Source organism: Homo sapiens, chromosome 9 (genome assembly GCF_000001405.40).
Source record: "Homo sapiens chromosome 9, GRCh38.p14 Primary Assembly".
Taxonomy (NCBI): Eukaryota; Metazoa; Chordata; class Mammalia; order Primates; family Hominidae; genus Homo; species Homo sapiens.
In genome coordinates, this window is record NC_000009.12 from 91,815,462 (window position 1) to 91,834,426 (window position 18,965).

The 18,965-nt window shown below is 48.0% G+C and overlaps 1 protein-coding gene across 9 annotated transcripts in view; it reads right to left on the minus strand.

Moving 5' to 3' along the window:
* The window catches only part of ROR2 (receptor tyrosine kinase like orphan receptor 2), a 227,628-nt gene that overhangs the window by 92,861 nt on the left and 115,802 nt on the right, over positions 1-18,965 (minus strand). The window contains exon 1 of one of the 9 annotated variants that reach the window (XM_017014762.2): positions 9,098-16,905. The exons of 7 other annotated variants lie outside the window; for them this stretch is intronic. In XM_017014762.2, coding sequence (XP_016870251.1) covers positions 9,098-9,185 — 88 coding nt within the window. In that variant the 5' untranslated portion in view covers positions 9,186-16,905. Of the gene's footprint in view, positions 1-1,975; positions 2,895-9,097; positions 16,906-18,965 lie in introns of those variants that run through there. One more of the 9 variants, XM_006717121.4, reaches the window with a different exon arrangement.

Here is an 18,965-nt window from a genome sequence, read left to right on the forward strand (position 1 = left end):
AAGAGAACATTAAATGTTCACACGTAGAATGAATACAACCAGACTGAGGCATTCAATCAAGCTCCTCTTGCCTTTGACAGGCATATAGTGAGTTACAGGATTTTCACTAATCCTCAAATAAACAGTGTAAATACTGTTCTTAACTCAGAAATTACCTGCTGGCTATCGAGAGGTATTCTTGACGAACAGTGTGATGGCACTGTGACCGTCAGCCTCTGAAACCCATGGTCTTTGGATAAATTCCCTGCAAAGGAAAACCATTTCACAGGATGCCAAACCACCCTGCAATGCAGGGTACGGTCCCAAGGCCCTTCTCAGTTGATCGGAAGGATATCATCACATCCCTAGGCAACACAGATGTATGGAGATAGGCATGTCTCAAAAACCCAACAGCAACACAAAACCATCAGCGCCCGTGGAAGGGGTTGCCCTGAGACTGGCTCTCACGGCACAAACTCGGCCTGCCCCATGGGACCCTACTGGCCACTCTCTACCTGCTCACGGTCACCCCCAAAGCCTGTGCATCTCCTCTCTCAGAAAACCCTTCTCCATAAACGGTAAGCAGCCTCACCTTCTACCCAGTGGCTCAAGGCAAACACCCGATGCCATCTGGCTCCCTCTTCCCTGGATTCCTCAAGCCGGTCCATCGGTCATCAGTTCTATCCCAATACAGGTCTCGGAGCCAGTGTCCCCTGTCTTTCTCCCTGGGCCTGCCCTCACGGTAGCCACCAGCAACCTTGCTCGGGCTCACTGCTGTGGCCTGGCCCCACCTCCATGCTCTACCACATTACCCAAATGTTCACAGCCACAGGAGACCCTTCAAGAGATCAATCAGATCACATCTCCTCCTTGCTGAAACCCTCCAAGGCGTTTCCACCTACCTCAACTAAGCTCCAAATCTTCACCAACCCCAGCCGAGGACCTGCCCAGGCTCTTTGGGCAGCCTCACCTCCCACAAGAGTAGCCCCCTTTCCCCTCTGGCTGGTCTCAGATCACCCACGCTCTTTCTTGTCTTGAGACGTGGACACTTGTGCTTCCTCGGCCTTGCCCCGAATGCCAGCTCTGTCCCCCAGCCTGGACCTGATCTCCTTGCAGAAGCCACCTCCCCCCGCCAGGCTTCCTGCCCACCTGCCAAGGCTCCCACACCACCCCACAGCTCCCCGCTGTGGTATGCAGGGCCCTCCCTGGCATCCGCGATCCCCTCCTTCAGTGGGTCCTTGTTTACCACCCCCCCACCCCCCCAACACACACACTCTAGAATTGCCTGGTTCTACATATTTCCAGAGATATGACATGTCAGTCCATGGAGGATTTAAACATGAGATAAAGGAGTGAGGGTATGGGAGAAGGGGGAAGAGACCAGCATTTACCACTCACCATTGGTTTTCAGCCCCACTTCACAGAGACAAGACACTTGGAGAGAAAGATAACCATCCCACAGCAAAGCTGCCCTACCTTAAGTTGACATGATCTTAAATCTCCTAAAAATGTGACAAAGCATTTGAAGAGGTGTCTTTAACTGACCATCTGTACTTCTAAATCACTTTGAACATCTCAGAAGGAGAGATATAGACTGCCTGTGGGGAGACCCATGGGCTGTGGCTCTGCCTGCCTTCCAGAAGCTTCACTCGGGGCCTCTGAGCAGGCAGAGGGCAGAGCTGACATCTGCCGTTTCAAACACAACCCCAGGGGCTCAGTGCTGGTGAGGCGGTTGGCTTGGCATTTCTCTCAGCCAACCTGACTTTACTGAAATAGAGTCGAGAAGGAAGGCCGGGACCCAGCAGGGAGGGGCAGAACTGGACTGTCCCCACCCTGAGTTCATGCCAGGACCCTGGCGTGCCTCCACCAAGGAAGGCAGGAGACCTTCGTGGGGTCCAGGGCTCCTGGTAAATCCCAGACCAATGCAGCTATAGGACCACTGCAGGTGGCCGTGCAAGATAGAGACAGTGACCTGCAAGACAGAGATGGTCTCTACCTCAAGGCACCAGGGAAGGGGTTCGGCTTGGACAGATCCTGATGGCTGCCACCTGCTACATCTGACCCCTGCAACTTGCAGGCTCCTCCAGCTTGGCCACCTGTGCACGTCTCCTCCGGGGAGTGAAGGGGGTCTCTCAAGCTGTACTGGGCCAGGCACTGATGCTCAGGATCATCCTACCCGGCCACCAGCGCCAGGAGCAGCACCCCCTTCGCCTGCCAGGCACCCGTCGGGGCCTCCTGGGTCCTGCAGTCCTATGGCCACCTCGCCAATATGAGGCCCCATCTGGTATCCATGGGAACGGAAAGAAAGTCAAGGCTGGGTTTAACGACAGTGATTAAGATTTACTTAGGGAGTAAAAGCAAAAAGAAAACAAAGGCCCAGCTAGTTGTTAAGGGGAGGGAGGAGGAGGGGAAAGAGGGAGGAGAGGGAGGGGAAGGGGCTATGGGCTGTTTTAGCGTCTCCAGCTTTTGTTTATAGCTGTTCCAGACGATCTGAAAATTATCAGGTGGGGGAAAGGGAGCCTCAACACGCTCTGGTCCGCAATGCAACTTACGAAGCATTTCCTTTTCTCTGGGGCCAGAGCGGTGATCACATGAGCCTTTGCTTTTTCTAAACTCCGTGTTTGTTTTTGTAGTTTCTGCCAAACTAAATCAATTCAGCTTGTGGCAACTTTAAAGAATCATGACTCGCTCAAACAGCCTCAAAGTTTGACTTCTTTCCAAGAACATGGACCAACATTTGTATAGGTTTCACATGCCTGGCGATCAAATCCTCTAATTACGCAAATCTGTGTCACAGAACTGCAAATTAGTAACTTCTAAGATGACAGATTCCTATTCTTTGATATGCAAGGCTAAATGTCTTTCATTCAGGGAGGACAGAAATACTAAACTTTTTTTTGCAACAGCACAACCACGTATCTTTTGCAATATCTTTAACTGGAACAAAATGCCACACCCCCCCACAGGCTATCTCCCTGTACTCCACCACAACCACCAACTCCCGCCCACCACGCCCCCCCACCCCACCAGTAGCCAGCCCTCTCCAAAAGGGCCCCTCATGCCACCTGGACCCCAGGGGAGCTGGAGACCCCTCAGGTGACATGGCAATGTCTGCAATGACTGAACCATTCCTAACAGAGCCTTCTGAGGTGGCCGAGAGGAAGCATATGCCACAAAGGAAGTCCCTGGGACTCTCTAGAAGAAAAGAGACCATGGCCCACGCTGGCATAGTAAGCCTAACACTGTATCCATGAGAAAACAGAAAGAACAGAGTGGGCTCAGGGGGTCTTAGCGACTGCCCCAGCAGTCCTGGAGATGGAAATACCAATGGCGTGGAGAACAGCCCACACACAGCCTTGGGCAGCCTCACCTCTGGCCTCTCTTAGTTGCACAGGAAGCCACCAACTCAACTCCCTCCCACCCTGAGCCCTACCCATGAGCAGCTTGGGGGACCAGGGCCTCCCCAGCCTGCAGAGTCCTGCCCCCTCCCTCTTCTGCAGGTCATGCTATTCTGTCTCTGTTCTTGAAGGATGACTCCTTCTTCCATCCCAAGAAGAACCCACGGTCCCCACAGCTCTGTCCGGTCAGTCCCAAAGAGGTGGTCCGCCTCTTCCTCTCTTCCCAGCCAGAAGCCTGGTGGGTCTAGGGGAGGGAAATGGCCACAGTGGCGTGAATGGACTCGGCCCAAAGATGAGCCCTGGTGAATGATCTCTGCAGCCCCCGCAGCCACAGGGAGCTGGCGGGCAATGAGGTGTCAGCCCAAGGCCAGGACTGACACAGCATGGGAACACCACAGAAGCACCAACCTTGTCACTGAGCTGCTGACCCCCACCCCCAGGCTCCTAGCAGAGCTGTCGCTGCACAGAGAGGGTCCTGCTTCCCAGATGCCAACCTTCGGGGCTACAGGCAAGGCTGTTCATCTGTATGTGTGTCTATGTCTGTGACGATGCACGTGTCTACGTGTGTGTCTTTGAGTGTGTCTGTTAGTCTCTGTGTGTGTTCTGTGTGTGTCTGTGTATGTGTCTGTGTGTCTCTTTGTGTATCTTTGTGTCTCTGCGTGTCTTGGCGTGTGTTCTGTGTCTGTCTTTGTGTGTCTGTCTTTGAGTGTGTATCTTTGTGTGTGTCTGAATATTCTGTGTGTCTCTGAGTGTTCTGTGTGTCTGTGTTTGTCTGTCTTTGAGTGAGTGTGTGTTGGTGTGTTTCTGTGTTCTCTGTGTCTGTGTCTTTCAGTGTCTGTGTATCTGTCTTTGTGTGTTTTTCAGTGTGTTCTGTGTGTGTCTTTTGAGTATGTATCTGTGTGTCATTCAATATTCTGTGTGTGTGTCTCAGTGTTCTGTGTGTATGTCTGTGTCTTTGTTCTGTGTGTGCCTGTGTTTGTCTGTCTTTGAATGTCATTGTGTCTCTAAGTGTGTTCTCTGTGTATGTCTGTATTTGTGTGTGTGTGTCTGTTTAGTGTTCTGTATGTGTGTCTGTCTTGGAGTATGTGTCTGTGTGTGTGCCTCTGAGTGTGTATGTGTCTGTCTTTGACAGTGTCTGTACCTGTGTGTCTGTACCCGTGTGTGTCTGTGTGTGCACACCTGTCATATGAAGAAGAAGGGGCAGTAAGAAGGTCGGGATGGTGATGAGTCTCTCACAATGCTGCCTTCAACACTACAGCTATCTTTGTAATCTTTTTCCTTTCTACTTAAAAATTAACGTACATTTTGCATTCTTTATTACATGTCCATGTTTGTTTTGGTTTTTAAAATGCACTGCCCCCACCTCAAATTTTAATTTAATAAACAAAACAATGTCTGGGAAGATGGACGTGTTTCTCCTGAGGCTCCAAGTCTCATCCTCAAGACCCGAGCAAAGCCACGCTCCCACGGCAGGATGCCCTCTACAAGTCAGCCGGGAATCTGAGCAAGATGGACACCAGGGCCCCAGCAGAGACCAATGGAAGCAGAATTCAATGCCCTGAACACATTCATCTGGGGTGTCCTGGGGAACTCACAAAGAGCCAGGCAGTCACCTCCCCAGCCCTGAGCAGAGAAAATGCACAGTGGCTTCAGTGTGGTCCCCAGATCTACAGTCAGGAGCCACGGCAGGCAATCTACCAGGAGAGTCCACCACTACGCTGGCTCCCTCCCTCCCCTCCCCTCCACACCCACGTGCGCAATGCTGTTTCACAGTCAGTGGGTTATTACATAGCCAAGTGCTTCCTATCGATGGGTGTGTTATGGGTTGACTTGTGTCCCCCAAAATCACATATTGAAGTTAAAACCTCCAGTCCCTCAGAATGTGACCTTATTCTTTAGGGTCTTTGCAAAGTTAAACTGAAGTTCTATACATGGGCCCTAATCCACTATGACCCATGGCTTTATAAGAAGGGGAGGTCAGGCCAGGTGTGGTGGCTCACTCACTGTAATCCCAGCGCTTTGGGAGGCCAAGGCGGGTGGATCACCTGAGGTCAGGAGTTCAAGACCAGCCTGGACAACATGGTGAAACCCCGTCTCTACTAAAAATAAAAAATTAGCCAGGCATGGTGGCACATGCCTGCAGTCCCAGCTACTCAGGAAGCTGAGGCAGGAGAATTGCTTGAACCCAGGAGGCAGAGGTTGCAGTGAGCTGAGATCATGCCACTGCATTCCCGCCTGGGCAACAGAATGAGACTTCGTCTCAAAAAAAAAAAAAAAGAAGGGGAAGTGAGGACACAGACACGCACAAAGGGACAGCCATGTGAGGACACAGGGAGAAGACAGCATCTGCAATCCATGGAGAGGCTCAGGAGAACCAACCCTGCCCACACCTTGATCTTGGACTTCTGGCCCCCAGAATTAGGAGAAAGCAAATTTCGGTTGTTTAAGCCACCCAGTCTGTGGCATTTTATTACAGCAGCCTGTGCAAATAAATACAGTATGTGATAGGCATGCATTGCTTCGTTATTATTGCCCAACTCCTTTAGTTAAAAAGCACCTCCCCTCCACCATGGAACCACCATTCTGCTGTCTGTACCCTTCCTGGTGGTCTCCTTTCCACATTGGCTGCCTGGTCTTCCCAGCAGCCTGCTCCCTCAGCAACACCTGCAGATCAGACTGCCCCATACAGTAGTACCCCCTGCCCCACAGCTCCCCTCCACAGCCATGCACCCCTGAAAGGCCCACATGCTCACCTGTGAGTCACTTACTCCCCCTGTCCTCGTTCTCCAGCCCTTCCAAATGTGAGTCAACCATTGTCAGTGCCAACCCTTAGTCTTTCTGCTATCCTCAAACATCATCTTGGCTCAGACATTCACCCCAGGACACAAATATTACTGCCCTGGCGAAGATCCTCACGTCTCTGCCTTAGACAAGGACTCCAGCCCCGGCGTCATTACACAGCACTCATCATGCCCACTATACTATCTACTCAGCAGGTCCAAGGCATCTACTCAGCAGTTCCCAGGCACTGGGACCGAGGGTCCTTGTCTTTCAAGGCTTCCTATTTCTTGGATAAAACTGATGCTGAATGTATGTTTAGTGAAAGGTGGACACAAGCAAAGGAAAGATGGAAGGAAGACAGCTAAAATATATATATACAAAAAAGCCTCACAGTTAAACAAAAACCAAGAAAAGGCTAGAAAAAAAGGCGCTTCAAAACAAATTGTAAACACGGCAGTTGACCCAAATCGGGATGAGAGAAATCCATGAAGTGATGGAAATGTAAAGAGGCCAACATTTGAATATGAAATTTGAACTGGAACCAGCTATACAAAGTCAAGATTTTTAAAACATGTTTTCTCCTGGAGCTGGTTACTGAAGGGCCTGGAGGCAGTGGCCACTCAGGGTCCCTGAGCACACCAGCATCCATGCATTGGTGTTTACACACCACCACCAAGGATCAGAGTTCCTTGGAAAAACAGTTCATCTTCACTCTGGACGATGTGGATGTATAATACAAGGTGAGCTGGGGTACCTCACTGTGCCAGATTGGAAGAAAGACTCAAAAACTAAAAGAACAAAGGCACCTGCTTCCAGGGCTCCCATAGACTGAATTTGAGCATCAGGAAGAACAAAAATGATTCTGTAATACACTGAGTTTTTAAAAATATCATCAGCCATCAATGATTCTCAAAAGCAGAGGAGGCTTTTCTTTTCAGTAGAAATGGCAAAATTAGAAAATTGTCATTTTGCAACCTGCCATAAAATTCCTGATTCAGGCAAGACTCACTGGATGCGAAAACCACTGAGCAGAAGGCTGTTTGGGGAACAAGATAGATACAGAATGTCCAAGTATCGTCCTACAGATTTCATACTCAGGACAGGCAGAAATACAACATGGCTTTTCAGAGGAGTGGGAGAAGGGGGCAGCCACCACTTTCACCAGGTGGTCGGATTTAGCATCTCTGACACAGTGGGACCACTGACCCCTACGTGTGATGCAGCCAGACGTGCACAGCTTCTCCAATAAGTCTTCTGGCCACAGACGCAGAGACATCCAGTCTGACAGCAAACACAAGGGCAGAGAAAGACAGTAAGGGAGACAGTAAGAAACATCACCGGAGGGAACAGTCACACTAATTCAAAGGTGCGACATTCTGGAAGATAACTAGCTTTTCCTCTTCTAACAGTTAATGTCACAAAGGTAAGAACAAAAAGGAAGGGCTATTTTAGATTAAAGAGTCTAAGCAGTTATAACAAGCAGATCCAGGTTTGCAGAGAGAGAAGCTATTAAACACATTCTGAAGAGAACTGGAGAAAGGTGAATATCAAGTAACCATTAGACGATATCATGGGACTGCTGTTAATTTTGTTCCATGTAAGAATGGTGCTGCCATTATGGAGAATGACAGTTTTTCTTAGAGGAGATGGATGCTCACATATTTGGGGCAGGGGCATGTCATGATGTCAACAACTTATTTTCAAACTGTTCAGCAACACTTTTTTTTTTTTTCAAGACGGAATCTTGCTCTCTCGCCCAGGCTGGAGTGACATGATCTCGGCCCACTGCAACCTCCACCTCCTAGGTTCAAGCAATTCTCCTGCCTCAGCCTCCCAAGTAGCTGGGATTGCCGGCGCATGCCACCACGCCAGCTGATTTTTTTTTTTCAAACTCCTGACCTCATGATCCACCTGCCTCAGCCTCCCCAAGTGCTGGGATTACAGGCATGAGCCACCGTGCCCAGCCTCAGCAACAAATTTTTATAAAATATGGATTTAAGGAGCAGAGAGGAAGTGGGGGCAAGAAACAGCATACTATCAACAACCGCTGAATCTGGGTGGAGAGTTTATGTGTGTGTTTGCAGTATTATCTTTCAACTTTTGTGCATATTTGAAAACTCTCATAATGAAAAGACGGGAAGGAATAAGGAGGCCCACATTCCCAAGGTGACAATGAATAAACAGGATTACATTTAGTTAGGCTGGGGCGTCAGGGAAGGTGCCCCCAGAGCTCCAAATGCCCAAGGCATCTCAATCTCCTAAATTTCTCTGAAATACACAATCTCTGCCGGATTCACCAGCGGTTCCTCTAAGATCCTTGCAGTTTGTTGCTGTTCTTCCATGCCTGTGCTCAGAGTCAGCCTGCTTCTACCTCCACTAGCAGAGCTCAGAGAAAACAGGCTTTTCACAATGAGCTGGTGCTTCACAGCAGTGTGTCTAAGTCGATGGGCAGAGAAAATAAGAATTTCATGTGCCGACGATAGAATCTGCCAGACTTTCTCTACTTCACAGTTCCCAGGTAATCATCACGACCAGGCCACCTTCCCAGAGAGACACCATTACCGGCATCTTACAGATAAAGGATGGGCCTCAGGCAGGTAAACAAATGCTCAGAGCCACAAGGAAATGATGAAGCTGGGCATTACATCCAAGCCCCTTGGATTACATGCCTGTGGGGTTCCCCCAGCCAAACTCACTGTGCTTCCTGCTAGAGGGGCCTCTCCACTCAGGGTGTGGCCTTTTGGGACTGCAGCATCAGCATCCCCTGGCACTTCATGTTCCCAGTGAAGTGGGCACTAAACCTCACTAACAGGTAGGAATGTGCACACGCCGGGGGCAGGGCATCCCCTCTGCAGGACACAGTGCATTCAACAGGTCTACTTCATAGTGGCAAACACAGGAAGAAAAGCGAAAGGGAGAAAAATTTCAAAAGCACTCACCAAAAATGTAGTAGGAAACAGAGGACGATGAAATGCAACCAAATCCCAATGTTTCAACGCACACCAAAAATGTTCCCAGCAGGCACATCTGGGAGTGCCCGGGAACTCCCCCACCCGAGGCAGCTGTCCTCTGGCCCTGGTATGCAACACCCCCATTTCCTTGATGAGAAACAGGGCATCGGGGTGGGACACACACAGCTCTCCCAGGCGGGACATGGAATCCGTCCCCACGCTCTGGAACCAGCCCATGTGTTTGCAATTAGGAAACAGCCTGCCCTGGCAGGAGGGGGTGACGGGCAAGGCCTCTTGCCAGCTGTATTTTCTTCTCTGACAAAACAGGGCCCCCTTAACCTAGTGAACAGCGCTGCCCACAGGGCACCCCCGGCCCGCTGGCCCCAAGGAAATGAAAAGGAAGGGGGGCGATCTGGGCTTGGGTCCTGTTCCCAAGTCAGACAGGCCACAGGGCTGGGCTGTCAATGTTTCTTTGTGGCCTTAAGTAAGCCAATGACAAATAACATGTGTCTTTCAGACATGGGGGCCAACAAGAAAAACACATCTGTTTCCACCGCTGGCAGCATGTCTGTAACACACAGAAGCCCTTAAAGCAAGGCGCCCCTCCCAGGATACGTAAGAAAGCCTTCGGTAATCAGGGAAGGCTGAGGACACGCAATAAAGTTAAAGCTTGCTCGAGCCACACCCCACTTGGGAGCAGATGCTCCCAGGTGCTAGGAGAGACTCTCCCTGGAAGTGCGGGGCATGTGATGGGCTATTCACCCACCTGGACACCTGGGGCGAAGGTGTCAAACTTGTGGGGCACCCGGTGGGCTCCACTCACCTGTAATTCACCTCTAATTCCCCTGTGGTGAGAACATAAAACAGAGTGCAATGTACTTGTGAAACCATCCTGAGATCTTGCACTTGGAAGACCTGGACAGCTGCCATTGCCCAGACGATGCAGAAAGACTTGGACAGGAACATCTGCCTGAGACCCAGGCAGGGGGAGAAGGTGGGTGTCAGGAAACATCCCAACGCCAGTATTCGGGATGCCGGGAGAGAACAGGGGGCACACATCCAATGTTGTATTTCAACAAGTCACAGGACTTTTGAGTCAGCTCTGAACTGGTTTGACCACAGAGAAAGGATGACTCTTATGCCTAGAAGGTGAGTGAACTATCACTTATTTTGCTGGAAAAAAAGTGGGGGAGGGTAGGATGGACTGTGGAGGACAAGCCTCAATTTAGCAAAGCCACAGAAGAATTCTCAGATTTTCTCCATTTCCACAAATTGCTGTCTTGGGCAAACACTGATTCTGAGGCAAGAGAAAGAAAGAGAAGGTCCTTCCATCGGCGAATAAACCAATGAAAAGCTTTAATGCTGACTTACATCAGCTTTGATCCAGCAGGAGTGTGGGTCTCCTCCTTTCTGGCTCTTAGGAACTCTCACTGGGTGGCTTCGCCCCCCTGCCTGCTGGCGATTTGGACAAGGAATGTCGATGTCTTATGTTGTACGTATCCTGTGGTTTTGTAGTTAACAGCCCAGGCTCCCTGGGTTCAAAGCCCACCTTGGCCAGGGCTACCCAGGATACTCCCAAGAAGCGTGACTACCAGGCTTCAGTTTTCTCATCTACAGAATGGGGGAAATGAGCCCTTCCCATTCATAGGACTGAATGTATGGAGCATAGAACATGGTGCGGCATAGTGAACATTCTACCAGCAATCACGCCATTTCATTGTTATACCCAGGTATATCTCCACACATACTCCAGACCCCCTTTCTTATTTCATCGTGTTTTTAACCTTGACGTAAACCTTACATTTTTATTTGTGTTCCTTAAAAAACAACAACAACAAAAAGAAATATACTGGTTAATTACATGATCCTGCCATTGTACCAGCATAACTATGCAGAAATCAGTGGTTAGTTACTGGGTTAAATAAATGTGGCTGGGCGTGGTGCCTCACACCCGTAATCCCACCACTTTGGGAGGCTGAGGCGGGCGGATCACAAGGTCAGGAGATCGAGACCATCCTGGCTAACACAGTGAAACCCCGTCTCTACTAAAAATACAAAAAGAAATTAGCCGGGCGTGGTGGTGGGAGCCTGTAGTCCCAGCTACTCGGGAGGCTGAGGCACGAGAATGGCGTGAACCCGGGAGGCGGAGCTTGCAGTGAGCTGAGATCGCGCCACTGCACTCCAGCCTGGGCAACAGAGAGAGACTCCGTCTCAAAAAAAAAAAGAAAAAAGAAAAAAGAAAAAAGAATGTGATCTTTTGTAAATGTGTATGTACTGCATCCAGTAACATTTTGAGAAGGGGAGACTCTGAAGGTTCTTTTATAACTTTGCTCTGATTATTAAAATGCAAGTCAGCTTTTACAGAAAATTGGGAAAGTGCTAGAAAGAATAATGAAGGAACAAAAATCATCTGCCATATGTTTACCAGACAAGACCATTATTAAAGCATTGACGCATGGCCTTCTGACTTCCCTAACTATATACGCACTCTATAGTTCACTTTTTGTTACACGATTAGACTCATTTCATAAATTGAACTTCCTGCTACATTAACTTTTAATATAATATTAATAATATTTTGTTATATTGCCCCCTAACTATATGCTCCATAAGGAACCCAATTCTTCTATGTAGTCAAGTATCTCCTGTGAGCTTAGCTTAGTTGACTAAATCAACATTATATTATAAAAATTTTCCCATATCATTATAGATGAATATTACATTTTGAAGGTTTTGCTATATCATTTTTTTTTAATGTGACTTTTAAAAGGCGGAGGTTGCAGTGAGCAGAGATCACACCATTGCACTCCAGCCTGGGCAACAAGAGTAAAACCCCAACTCGTAAATAAATAAATAAACATTTCTCTATGTAGCTTATGAAATCTACTTAAGTATTTTCCTGCTTCTGAACACTAGGTTCATTTCTAATTGTCAACTGCACCAAATAAAGCTATGATACACTTCCATCTGTAAATCTTTATTTCTCTTCCCATCTACTCAGGACGGATTCCTAGAAGTGAAAGTACTGGGTCCAAGGAGCAGGGGGTGGGTTCAGGATGCATGGCCCAAAACGTTCCCTCAAGAGACTGGTCCAATGTACAGATCAGTCCAATGTACAGATCGGTCCAATGTACAGATCGATCAGCAGTGTCTAAGAATATAATTTTGTTCAATTTGATAACCAAAACGTGTTCCATCGGTAGGCTTAATTTCTAGTTCTGGAATCAATGATTCTCAGGACTTTTAAAATTGTTATAACAACCATAGTAGTTTTCTTCTGAAGAAATGTATTTGTCTCCTTTGCCTGTTCTCCTATCAGTATCCATCATTTTGGGCAGTGCCATGTTGTTGTAGTTTTTGCAGCTTTTTTATGTATTTGAAAACACAGTAAAGATCTCCTTTCACCATTTATCAGACTCAAAATTTTCTTTGGCATTTGCCATTTCTTTATTCCTCCAAATGAGTCATAGGATCCTTTTGTCCAGCATCCCTGAAAAGTCCCACTGGGGTTATTTTAAATGTTTGCTACCTTCAGAAGAACTGACATCTTTAAAACATTCAGTCTTCCAGAGCATAAATAAATTATTGTACTTTTGAAAATTTCATTATTCTTACATACTTTCTTATTGTTTGGTGAAGTTTTTAGGTAACTTCAACAGCACCTGCATATTTTTGATGGTACAGTGGTGTGGCTTATCTATTTTGCTTTTGCAATGGAATGTTTCCCCTGTACATCTTCTGATTATTGATGATACATAGGAAATCTTCTCCAATATATTGTATGTAAATTCATTAGTAAGTTCACAAATTAATTCTAAAAGTTTTTAGTCTATTTACTTGGGCTTTAATGTACATATTCTCGGCAGGGTGCGGTGGCTCACACCTGTAATCCCAGCACTTTGTGATGCCGAAGTGGGTGGATTACTCGAGTTCAGGAGTTCGAGACCAGCCTGGCCAACATGGCAAAACCCGATCTCCACTAAAAATACAAAAATTAGCTTGGCGTGGTAGTGCACGCCTGTAATCCCAGGTACTCGGGAGGCTGAGGAGGGAGAATCACTTGAACCCGGGAGGAAGAGGCTGCCCTGAGCCAAGATTGTACCACTGCACTCCAGCCTGAGTAACAGAGCAAGACCCTGTCTCAAATAAATAAATAAATAAAGCACATATTCTCTTAAAAATAGTAATTGCATCTTCTACAATCCATTAGCTCGCCCCTTGTTTCTGTTTCCTGTCTTAATACACTGACAAGACTTGCTGAGCAACCTCATACAAGGCTTTTTGAATTAGCCTTGATATTAAAGAGACTACTTAGATTATTACATCATTAATGTTTGCTTTGAGTTTGGTATAGACATTAATTAACATTATAAAAAGCTAAGTGGGAGATTAATTTCTTAAAAGCCTTCCAAGTGTCTCATCATCTCCCTATTTTAAATGGCTAAATGATTAGAAACATCAGAGGATAAACACTAGCTGGGCACTAGGGAGAATTCCATTTTCAAATGACCTCAAGGTATAACTTAAATATATGTTAACTAGACATCATGGCACTGTCCCACCTCCAAGCCAATTAAACTTCACAGGCAGTCGCTTCCGCGGAGTGCAGCCAGAGTGAGACATACAGATTAACATGCTCTACCCTTCTCAGAAGTGTATGGGCACATTTGTAATAAAATGCAGACATGTTGGCTGGGCACGGTGGCTCACGCCTATAATCCTTGCACTTTGGGAGACTGAGGCAGATGAATTGCCTGAGCTCAGGAGTTCGAGACCAGCCTGGGCAACACGGTGAAACCCCGTCTCTACTAAAACACACACACACAAAAATTAGCTGGGCATGGTGGCATGCAACTGTAATCCCAGCTGCTCGGGAGGCTGAAGCAGGAGAATCACTTGAACCCAGAAGGCGGAGGTTGCAGTGAGCCAAAATCACGCCATTGCACTCCAGCCTGGGTGACACAGCGAGACTCCGTCTCAAAAAAAAAAAAAAAAAAAAAAAAGCACACATCTCAAAGAAGGCTGTGAGCTCAGGTGTAATCTGTGAATATTTCCAGGTTACCTGAAACCAAGGGAAAGAAAGTTGTAAATAACTAGAGCAGGGAGCAATGAAATGAAGGCACAGTCATATTCTGGAACTGGACCAGCTGACGCCTTCCTACGGATATAACCAAGATCCATACGAATCTTCATTCATATGAATGTTCATTAATGGAAACATTAAAAATGATAGTTAGGTACTATAAATAATGATCCACACCCACAATAAATATTTTTAACGTAATACAAATAAATGAACCATCATTAATCAATCAACAGATGTGCAGCCCAGCCCTTTCTTTGAGTAAAAAATCTACTCATTGCCGTTCACATTAATTTCTTCACAAATCACATATTTCATCTGTTTCCTGGTTTGGTTTTCTTAAAGTGTCTAAATGCACCTATGCATCTGAATACAAAACCCTAATCAATTTTCATTATGACTCATATCTAATTCAACAAAAATTATCTTTAAAAGTTTTCCTCATCCTGTATTTTCAAATCAGTCAACTTGAGTTTTTCCTTTCTTTACACCCATTGAATTTATAGATTATGTCATTTATACTATTTCTGATTGGGTGTGGTGGCTCTTGCCTGTAATTCCAGCAATTTGGCTGTGCAAGGCAGGTGGATCGCCTGAGCCCAGGAGTTCGAGACCAGCCTGGGCAACACAGTGACACCCTGTCTCTACAAACGATAAAAATTTAAAAATTAGCCAGATATGGTGGTATGAACCTGTTAGTCCAAGCTACCCTAGAGGCTGAAGTGGGAGGATCACTTGAGTCCAGGAGTTCAATGCTGCAGTGAGGTATGACCACACCACTGCACTCCAGTCTGGGCAACAGAGTGAGACTCTGTCTCTAAAACAAGAAAAGAAAAGAAAGCTATGTCTGTACAATAACAAACACAACTCCCATAAGCAGGTTTCAGAGCACACAGCACTAACAACACAAAACCCAACTGCAGAAGCAGGAAAGTAGACTGGAGCCCACCAGCCTCCCCAAACTGGGTATAGTGGGCAATGGTCTTGTTTATTTGCAGAGGAAATGGAGCTTCGAGTTTATTTTGCAGCCATTAAAAAGATAAGAAAGAATTATGCATCCATCGTTCATGGAAGTTTATGTTATTATATTGAGGGAACAAATTTTGAAAAAAAAGTTAGTATGAATACATTTTACCAAAACTAAATAACTGTGTCCGTGTGTGTGTGTGTGTGTGTGTGTGTGTGTGTGTGTGTGTGTGTGTAGAGAAACTCAAGTTTGAAAAGGTAGACATCAAACTGTTACCAGGAGCTACATTTGGCCTTTGAGACCTGGGAAGGGATTGACAGTACACACTTTCTATGATTTCAATTTCTTAAAAAATTTGTGGCTGGGTATGGTGGCTCACGCCTGTAACCCCAGCACTTTGGGAGGCTGAGACAGGCGGATCACCTGAGGTCAGGAGTTCAAGACCAGCCTGACCAACATGGAGAAACCCCATCTCTACTAAAAATACAAAATTAGCCTGGTGTGGTGGTGCATGCCTGTAATCCCACCTACTCGGGAGGCTGAGGCAGGCGAATTGCTTGAACCAGGGAGGCGGAGGCTGTGGTGAGCCGAGATTGCACCACTGCACTCCAAGCCTAGGCAACAAGAGCGAAACTCCATCTCAAAAAAACAAAAAAAAAAAATTGTATTAATACTTTTGTAACGTAAGTTTGTTATTATTTTTAAGAAAAAGAACACAAGCATGAAGTCATGTTTTGGGCTGAGAGGAATCAAATATCTTCTTGGAAGGGACCAGCCGCGTTTGGTGGAAATGAGGTGAGGATTCTGTGCTGCTTTTCCTTAGAGGCACCTGGGGGGACAACATCCATTCCCCTGCAAAAAAGCAAGTGAACAGGCCAGGTGTGGTGGCTCTCAACTGTAATCCCAGCATTTTGGGAGGCCGAGGTGGGTGGATCACATAAGGTCAGGAGTTTGAGACCAATCTCACCAACGTGGTGAAACTCTATCTCTACTAAAAATACAAAATTAGCCTGGCATGGTGGCGCATGCCTGTAATCTCAGCTACTTGGGAGGCTGAGGCAGGAGAATCCTATAATCTCAGCTACTTGGGAGGCTGAGGCAGGAGAATCGCTTGAACCCAGGAGGCGGAGCTTGCAGTGAGCTGAGATCACACCATTGCACTCCAGCCTGGGCAACAAGAGCAAAACTGTCTCAAAAAAATAAAAAAGCAAGGGAAGGACTGCAGACTTCAGCTTGCCCTGCCAGAGGAGATGGTGCCATCTCCCTTCCCTGTAAAAAGATGCTGTGTGTGCGGTCAAATGCAAGCCAATCATGTCCCTGACCTAAGAAAGAAGTCCAAGTCAGAGAGCCCCAGACCAACGGGTGCCTCCTTCAGGCTGGGCCACACATGTTCTGTCCTGTTTGGACTTGCAAGCTGACCACTGGTGGGCTTGACCATAAAGTCACCACAAGGCTGACCCTGTAGAGCAGGATGAGGAATGGAGATCCCCTAATGAATCTCTCATAGAGCCCAAGGCACTCACAGCCAATCAACTCCAGCCATGTTCACTGCCATTCCAGGTGTGAGGGAAAAATAATTCTTAATTCTTCTTTGGATTAACACTGGTACAATTCACTACTTTAAAATTTAAACACAGTGACTAGCGACAGAAGAAATATCACAGATTATGTTATGTTTTCAAACATCCATGAGATGTTAAATGAGAAGTTTGGAGGAGTCTTTGTCAACTTCTGGGGTCACAATGGCAAAAAAAAAAAAAAAAAAAAAAAAAAAGGCTGTGTCCCCTACCCATGACGGCCAGGGTCCACGGTCCAGCCATCAGTCAAATGCAACTCTAGGTGCTGCTCTCCAGGTATGCTGTCACATGACTGAGGTCGGCTGTCATGTGACTGACTTTAAGTAAGGGAGATAATCTTTGATGACCCAGGTGGGCCTGGCTCAGTGAGTAGAAGGCCTCAAAAGCAAAGCAGCGGCTTTTCTGAGAAAGAGGAAACTCCCACCAGGGACAGTAGCCTCAGCGGTGCCCACAGTTCCAGCCACCCTTCCCTGTGGTCGGCCCCATGGATTTCAAATGCGCCTGGTCAGACCCAACAACCAAGTAAGTCGATTCCCTGTGACAAATCTTTTCATATATATCTCCTACGAGTTTTGTTTCTCTAGTTGGACCCTGACAGGTACACTCCTCAAATCACCCCAAAACAATGGAGAGAAACAGCAACTAGAAATACAACGTCCATCTTGGCAGAAATCGGGGCCTCCTATAGCCCCAAACCTCAGTGGAGGGGAAAGGAGGAAGAGAGATGCCAAGAGAAGACGCTGCAGTGCCAGACCTGAGCCCTGCCCAGGTCAGCACAGCCCTCCTGGGTAGGAGCCCACCAGCAAGTCAGGATGTGGTACACAAAAGCAGGTGAGGGGCTCAGAGTGGGCTCCCCTAAGCCCTGCAACACCCCCAAAGAGGGACAGGGAAGGTGGGCTGAGAGACAAAACACCCAGGTGTTCTCTGCCGAGTGGGCAAGAGGCATGGCATCAGGGTGGCTGCAGATGCGTCACCACGACACCAACCCACAGACATAAATGCTTGGGAGGGAGGAAGGACCCCCAAGGCTGCTCAGCTGCTTGTCCATCCAGCCTGCCGGATGCTCCCGACGCATCCACGCTGGGCTCCAGCGTCCTGCTCTGCACTTCTGCAACAGGTCCTCATCCTGCCACCCCCAGCTGGGTGTCCAAATGGCATGCCGAGTGCACTGTGCCTGTATCGTGACTCCCAGCTTTGCCCCAACCGCTACTGTCCCTTTCCCAGCAAATGGCGGCCATGTCCTTTCAGGCGCTCAAGTCAAATCTCTTGAGGTCACCCTCAACTGATTCCAAGACAAAGACAACTCCCAGTCCCACCACCAGCACCGCCACACGCCAGAGCCGTGCCCCCCAGGCCCCTGGAGTAGCTGAGCACTCCTTTCCATGCACATCCCTCAATGACCCCCTATCGAAGAGAAGCAGCCCATGGCCAGCGCACCCTGCAGACCTGCATGCCCGCCTCGAGCTGCCTGCACTCCTGCCAGCCTCCAACTGATCAGCTCTGCTCAGCCCCCGAGAGCTCCCTGGGGCCTCAACACGCAGAAGGAGCTGTCCTGGACATCTGCTGGAGCATCCCCTCTGCCCCACGCAGCCAAGAGCAGACCCGAGTCCTGCTGCAAGACTCAGCTTGAAGGGATATGGAGGGAGGGACGTCCCCTCACTGTGTCTGAAAACAGCTTTCCCCAGCCCAGTGTTCAGGGAAATCTGAGGCATATTCGAGCCATGGGATTTCTCTTTGTGTTCTCTCCCCCAGCCTCAAGCACCCACAGGCTGAGGTCAGGGATGGTTCCAGGGAGGACACTGCGTGGAGAGTGGGTAGGCCGTCCCCCTGGGCCTGCAGACTGTAAAGCTCATTCCGGCTTTTGTTCCAGCTGACAAATGGAAAGTAAAAACAGGTCTCGGGTTCCAAAGTACATGATCTCCATGGCAAAGGTCAGTAAATCTATCTTGTTACCCAGAGAAAAAGGCACAGCCTGGCTCAGGAAACAAGACCAGAAACTGTGGGCTACGGGAGCCCACTCAGGTCCTGGCTTTCCTGAGCATCGCTGGGTGGACTTGCCCAGAGCCCCAGCTGTGTTTCATCTCCTCCCTTCCCTGTGCCACAGATGCCCAGGACCACGTCCCCGCGTGCAAACCCACCATCCACAAGTCATTTGGCAGCTGCTAACTCAACACCAGCCCTGCTGGAGGACAACCATGTTTGTGGTTTATTTTTTAATGCAGACACAGA